Source organism: Homo sapiens, chromosome 3 (genome assembly GCF_000001405.40).
Source record: "Homo sapiens chromosome 3, GRCh38.p14 Primary Assembly".
Classification (NCBI taxonomy): domain Eukaryota; kingdom Metazoa; phylum Chordata; class Mammalia; order Primates; family Hominidae; genus Homo; species Homo sapiens.
The window spans coordinates 43,768,377-43,775,137 of NC_000003.12; the positions used below are offsets into that span (position 1 = coordinate 43,768,377).

General features: G+C 50.9%; 3 annotated features.

Annotated features, from left to right (window-relative positions):
- Positions 1,151-1,330: a silencer, noted in NCBI's record as "silent region_14258". NCBI's record gives its function as "represses an Ori minimal core promoter by ATAC-STARR-seq in GM12878 lymphoblastoid cells {active_cell/tissue: GM12878}" and the evidence as "EXISTENCE:reporter gene assay evidence [ECO:0000049][PMID:35858748]".
- Positions 2,089-2,588: an enhancer, noted in NCBI's record as "H3K4me1 hESC enhancer chr3:43811957-43812456 (GRCh37/hg19 assembly coordinates)". NCBI's record gives its function as "activates a minimal SCP1, AML or CMV promoter by ChIP-STARR-seq in naive H9 embryonic stem cells {active_cell/tissue: H9 hESC(naive)}" and the evidence as "EXISTENCE:reporter gene assay evidence [ECO:0000049][PMID:30033119]".
- Positions 4,955-5,481: an enhancer, noted in NCBI's record as "H3K4me1 hESC enhancer chr3:43814823-43815349 (GRCh37/hg19 assembly coordinates)". NCBI's record gives its function as "activates a minimal SCP1, AML or CMV promoter by ChIP-STARR-seq in naive H9 embryonic stem cells {active_cell/tissue: H9 hESC(naive)}" and the evidence as "EXISTENCE:reporter gene assay evidence [ECO:0000049][PMID:30033119]".

Genomic DNA, 6,761 nt, shown 5'->3' on the forward strand with positions numbered 1-6,761 from the left:
CCCTTGTTAACTCCCTTAAAATATCTGATTGAATTTCATGTGGAAGCGAATGCCACAGATTAAATATATGTTGTGTTAAGAAGCTTCCCGTTTTATCACAGCCTGTGCACTGCCAGAAAAGCATTCTGCATGTTAATTAAGATAGCTGGGGGATTTTTTAAAGACTTCTTTTTCTCCCTTTAACTTTATAATGCATTCAGGGGAAGGGAACTAAGGCAACTATTTGCAAAGCTGTAAAAATCAGTGTCGAGTCAGATGGGTTGTGGGATCCCAGGGAGCTTCAGTGACGGGCCAGGGCACTGTCTGTGCATGTCAGCAGCAGGCTGAGTCTAGGAGCCGGCTGTGAAGGAGCTTGGAGAGGCTGAAGGGAGGAAGTTCTGACTTCTGACTTTAGTAGGAACAGTGCCCTTCTGGCTAAGGCTGGAATTTTGCCCAGGGAACAGTTAAGTAAGAGGTGGGGTGGGAAGTGATCAAATCCAAGAATCAAAGTGGACAAGATGAATTTGGATATGGAGAATGGAGAAATCTGACCTTCCTCCCAATTAGAATGTCAGTGTAGCCAGGACTGTGTGGCAAGACCAAGAGGGGGCTGCAGATGCCTGCTTTAGCTGCTGCTAAGATGCCAGCACATTGGCCCTGCTAATGGGCCCAAATTCAGAAGTGACATGAATAAAACATGGATTCTGAAGTTCTTCAGACCTGGATTAAAATCCTGGCTTAGACACTTGTCACTTACTAGATCTCATTTTCCTCACCTGTGAGATGTGCATAGGGACACTGCTAGGTTCAGAGACCCTGGGTACAGCTGGCACATGGCAGGCTGTTAGCATATGGCACTTACTGCTGTTACATAAGAACCTGTGTCCACCTCCTGCTGTCAGGCACTTTGCAGCACCCAGCTGTTTGGTCACCTTTTCACCTCCCTTCACCTCTGTTCTAGTCTTGGCTCACCCTTCAAATACAACTGGCCCCTTACGTCGGGTGACCTAGAGAGTAGTCCCTGCCACTTGCACAATCCCAGTAAGCTCTAGTTAGGAAAATACCCTCATCCAAGTAGTTCCAGAATAACACTGCTGTTTGTTTGGGACTCCCTGACCCATAGCTTAGGAATCATGCATGCGCTGGGGTGACACTAAGAGCAACAAGATGTCCATCGGGAACCACTGCAGTTCCTCCGCCTCCCTTGGCACCGTGCCCTGGGACTGAGTTTGATTGCAGCGCCTTTCCCAGCTGTGACCAGCAGGGGGCGGCTCCTCTCTCTCGTGTCCCTTTCCAGTATCCTGGTAGGGTTCGTTCCCTCCCCAGCCCACTCAGGCCTCCTCCCGGGCTCCGCCTCTCGGGCTCCCTGAGACACGGCCCCGGCTCCTTCCGCCTTCCTTGGAGGAGGCTTGCAGACCTGCAGGGCGGGGCCTGACTGAGAGCGGGGCGGGATCTCCTTCCGGGCTGGGGAACAGATGCCCTGGCGTCCTTGGCACTGGGTTGGCTGGTCCCTCTCCGTCCTGGCTCCATTCCAAGCACGGCAGGCCCCGGGAGGGGCCCAGGCTGCTCCTTTTTCCAGCCAGGACAGAAAAGCATCAAGGAACTCTCGGTCATGAGACACGCCCGTCAGAGAGGAGGCACATTCCAGGAATGACATATGCCCTGAAATGTCATATGCTCTGAGGAGGTGACACTCCCCAATGGGTGACACAGCCCACAAAGGGGACATGGCCCACAAAGAGGTGACATGACCCACAGGGGTCACATGCTCCACAGAGGTGACATACTCCACAGAGGTGACCTGGCCCACAAAGGTGACATGGCCCACAGAGGTGACACAAGCCACAGAGGTGACACAGACCACAGAGGTGACACACTCCACAGAGGTGACACAGGCCACAGAGGTGACACACTCCACAGAGGTGACCTGGCCCACAGAGGTGACATGCTCCACAGAGGTGGTATGCTTCACAAAGGTGATATGGCCCTCAGGGACACACTCCACAGAGATGATCCGGTGCACAGAGGTGACATACTTCACAGAGGCAACCCGGCCCACACAACAACTGTGTCTCAACCATACTAGACACCTCAGGTATCAGAACCTTTCCATGGCACAGCAGGCCATGGAGCAGGCACTGCAGTGTTCGCCCTACAAACCCGGCGACTCAGTTCCAAGACCCTGCAGTCCAGAGAGCAGCTCAGAGGCAACGGGCCGAGGCCAGCCCAGCCGTTTTGCCTAAAGGTGGCTGCCAACCCTGGGGCCCTCAGCCTGGGCCTCCTGTGTCTCTGACCTCCTGCCTATAGAAGTCTGTTGCTCTTGCAAGGCCAGTAGGTAGACAGAGACAAGCATCAGTGAGAGGAAGAGTCATTTATGATTTATGAATAATGAACTAATTTAATCCTGGGTTTCTCTTGTGCCTCCCATTTAGTAATTTGTTCCATTTCTTAATGGCTCGAGTTCTTTATCAGGCTGTGACAGAGGCGAGTGGTGAGTCATCACACTGGGGATCAGGAGGGTGACCTAGATATTGGCACTGGGAAAGCAGTCCTGAGAGACGAGCATCAGCTCCACCCTCCACTCCCTCTCCACTGTGGGCAGCTCTGCGTTGGCACAGCTCCTATCTCTGCATCAAAGTGGCAGGAAGAGGTGGCCGTTCAGTGGAGGTGGGTGTGGCTGGGGCTTGTCTGAAGCTGTGGTTCCACAGCAAGCCCCTTGCTTGTGCTTAGATTGGACATCAGGGGAGAAGATGGAGAAGACTGGGGTCTAGCCCCACTACACAGCTGCATTGAGAGGGAGACAAGACTTTGGCGTCAGGCCACTTGGGCTAAAATCCTGGCTGCCACCTCTGTCTTTGTGACCCTGGGTGCATTGCTTTACCGCTCAGAGCCAAGAAAAGATGCTTCCAACAGTGAAGGCTGTCACCTCTATCCTCACGCTGCTGTCTGGTTTCTTGAACCTGTTATTTCTTTTCTTTTTATTACACACAAGTATATTGAGGCTTTGGAAGGTTAAACACCTTAACGAAGAGAGCAGGAGAGTGGTCTGTGTACAGAGGAGGGGAGAGTGGAACCTGAGAAGGCCTGGAATCAGGACCCCAGGGTGGACCCTTGAGGGCCAGCTTTGCCTTGCCTCCTCCGTGTCATCTTGCATGGCATCTGGCCCCAAAGTGCCCTCACACAGGAGCAGGCAGGGGGGCAGCAGGGGGCTGGTCAGACAGCAGCAGCCACTGAGAGCACAAGGAAGGACTAAAGCCAGCAGGTAGGTGGGGAGAAGAAGTGTGGGCAGCTGTAGGAGGCATCTGTCATGTATTTGCATAGTTAGCCCACCCTGTTGGCGTTTATCCTGTGAAGCAATGGTTATTGTGCCCACTTTACAGGCAGATACACTTGGGACAGAGGAGTCAAAGAATTGCCTAAGCAGCACAGCTGGTGCGGGGTGGAATCTGCCTTCTTCCAGCCTCTTCTCTAAATGCCGTCCCACTGCCTCTTGCCAGTCCCAGTTCTGATAGGTGTGGGTGTGTGAGGCCACCTGCTCTGTGATGATGGGTGTCCTCTTCCTCTTCTAGTGCTTGGTGGTCTACAGATCGTTGCCAAGTACATCAGCCCCTCTGATTCTCACAGTATTCCCGGGAGATGAGTATGAACAAGGATTATGAAAGAGTGAGAGTGACAGAGAGAGAAAGAGACAGAGACAGAGAGATAGATTAATATTAAAGTATAATATACAAACAGGTGTGCATATTATAAGTGCACAGGTCTCTGGATATTCATAAAGACTATTATTTAACTTCATTTTACTAAAAGAAAACTTAGGTTTAATGATGTGATATTCTGAAGTCTGTTTATGTGTCAAGCAATGGAGGCAGTATTCCAGATTACATCTCTTAATGTCCATGATTTGAAATGGATTTTTAAAATATTTAAAGTTTTGATTTTGATTTCTTTTGAGAGCAATATAATTTAATGGAAAATGGCAATGCCTTTATCTTATTAAGTTCATTACCACAAGTGGTTATATGAGAGGGAAATCAGGTGCTTTAAGCCATCCGCTCTTCTGTATTAAAACTCTTTATTTGGGGAATGAGAGTTCTACTGAAGTGTCTTAAGTAAAATTTGATTAAACTTAAGTAAAATTTGTTTAAAACTTGCAAGATGAACTTCATGGTTAAAGTCTAAAGTTTGCAGATTCAGAAAGACTTGAGGAAGGAACAGTGTACTTGAATTTTTTTTTGTAACATTTAATTAGTAGTGCATTGTTTACATCAACACTTTGTGGAATATTTTGGAGACTCAACAAAGCCTTCTTAAGGGTGGCCTGATCCTCGGCTTCCAAGTCTGTTTTTTAGCAGTGAAATGGCTTTCTTGTTCCCACATTTCAAAAAGAGGAAAACATTTCTGTCAGTTAAGCGAAGGGAGAGAGGAAGGTCTCACAATTGTGGTCGTGGTCAGGGGCGGAGACCTCTCCCCTTAGGATGCTCTACTTTTCTCCCTAGGGGGAGGTGACTGGGAGGGGACCTTTCTTCCAAGGTTTGGGAAACCTGGTAGATTCCTGCCTCTCTGGATGCTTTAATGGGGTCCCTGTGTGAAAGCAGGGGCTGGGGGTGTGTTACAAAGTCCCTTCCAATTCCATGAGAGCAGAATTTAGGGCAATTAGAAATTATCCCACCTGAGTCATCTTTCCCCTTCAAAGTGGTGTCTGAGGACTTTCTCAATTGACTCTGGAACAGGAGCAGAAAAACCCAATCAATTAGCCAATATCCAGTGACTGAGATGGACTGTCTCTGTCTGGGAATCGCTGGGGAAGCAGAGCCTGGAAAGGAGATTCATCTGGCAGGGGAGGGAAGATGAACGCTAAGGACTGGGAGAGCTGGACCAGTCAAGCTGAATTGGGCCTGACCCCCCAGTCCCACTCATAGTTAGACTCCAGACTCCAGACTCCAGACCCCAGGCAGTCACTTGAGAGGTCCAGCAGCTATGGCATGACAGGCAGTGGCCAGAGGAATTGCTCTCTGCCCCAGCCAGGCGGGAGCTTGCTCTGCCAGCAAAACCTGCAAGTCATCCTGCTGTAGCTGCCGGCCTGCAGAGACCAGCCCTGGTGGCAAGGAGGAGGTGTGAGGAGGAGGGAGCCTCTGGCAGCTTTTTGTTTCAGGCTAGAACTTTCTAGCAAGGCTTCAGAGCTGTCTGACCCACCTGCTGACTTATTCTCCCCTGCATTCCACTCCCCAAAGGCCACATCCGTCACACGCTGGCTTCCCCAGCCCAGGCATTCTCTCCTCGTGACATTGAGGCTGTGGAATTGTCCCTCCCTCCCTGGATCCCTGAGAACCCAGGAAGCCCACTTTCCCTCAATCACAGGCACATGGAGAGAATGAATTTCGTTTGGTTCATGTAAAGTTGGCTGGGTGATTTTGTTATTTTACTGGAACTAGTTGCCCACCTTTAAAAACTGGGAACTTTCACATATAAGCCCAGACTTCCTGCTTCTCTTGAAAGCCACTCTGGTGACACCGGGCCTGAGTCCCCATGTCGTCATGGAGGGGGTGTGCCATCTCTAGTGGCAACAGTTCTCACCTCTTCCATTTCTTGTGCCCCATTTATATGCCTCGCCCTCTTGGCCACAGAGTTAGTGCAAGCTCATCCTGGCACCTACAGAGGTGGAGAGCAGAGTGGGTGGTGTTCTGCCCCTGGACCACCTCCCCAGGGGACTGTGGGACTTCGTCTGCCTCCATAGCATCTGAGCCTGATCACCATCATGGCCCTTCCCATTTGTATTGAAATGATCCACTTTTTCCATGAGGATTATGGCCATTTATGGGCATTGGTTTAAATCTCCTTCCTCTCGCCTGGGGTCAGTTCATCTAATCACTTTTGGAGATGAATTTGGGGAAGTGATTCTCCACCTCCAAGACCCAAGGAAGGCTAAGTGGATCCAATGATTTTATTTCATTTTGAAGATGAAGAAACTGAGTCTCAGAGTGGTGTGTGGCATAGCTGACCTCTGCTAAGGAAGATCCTCCAGTGTGTGGCCTCCCTCTAGGTCACTGTCTACCCCAGGGTGGGCAACGGCATCCTTCAGGCAGGGGCTCTGGTGGGGGAGCCATAGTGGGAGAGTCCCTGGGTTGCCAGTTCCTATAGAAAGGCACATCACCGGCCGGGCGCGGTGGCTCACGCCTGTAATCCCAGCACTTTGGGAGGCCGAGGAGGGCGGATCACGAAGTCAGGAGATCGAGACAATTCTGGCTAACACGGTGAAACCCCGTCTCTACTAAAAATACAAAAAATTAGCCGGGCGAGGTGGCGGGCACCTCTAGTCCCAGCTACTCGGGAGGCTGAGGCAGGAGAATGGCGTGAACGCCGGGGGCGGAGCCTGCAGTGAGCCGAGATCGAGCCGCTGAACTCCAGCCTGGGAGACAGCGAGACTCCATCTCAAAAAAAAAAAAAAAAAAAAGTAAAAAAAGAGAAAGGCACATCACCCCTAGAGTGTTCTTCTCAGAGGGCCCACGTGGAGGATGCTGCCTGGCAGCCTGAGGGCAACAATCCAGCAGGTGAGCCCATGCCCTGCTCTGCCATCCATGCTCTCCCCTGAAAGGGGGCTCTGTGGAAGAGCCAGGTCCGCTGCACTCACCATCATTTCCAGTTGAGTGCCGTAACTAGGAGCTGTTCCCTCTGCAGGCAGGGGAATGCCAAGTGGGCCAGGAAAGCACAGTCAGTGGAGGAGGTGAAGAACTGTTTGAAAAAACTTCTTTCTCCAGCTTCCTCTTCAGCATATTCAGAAAGCT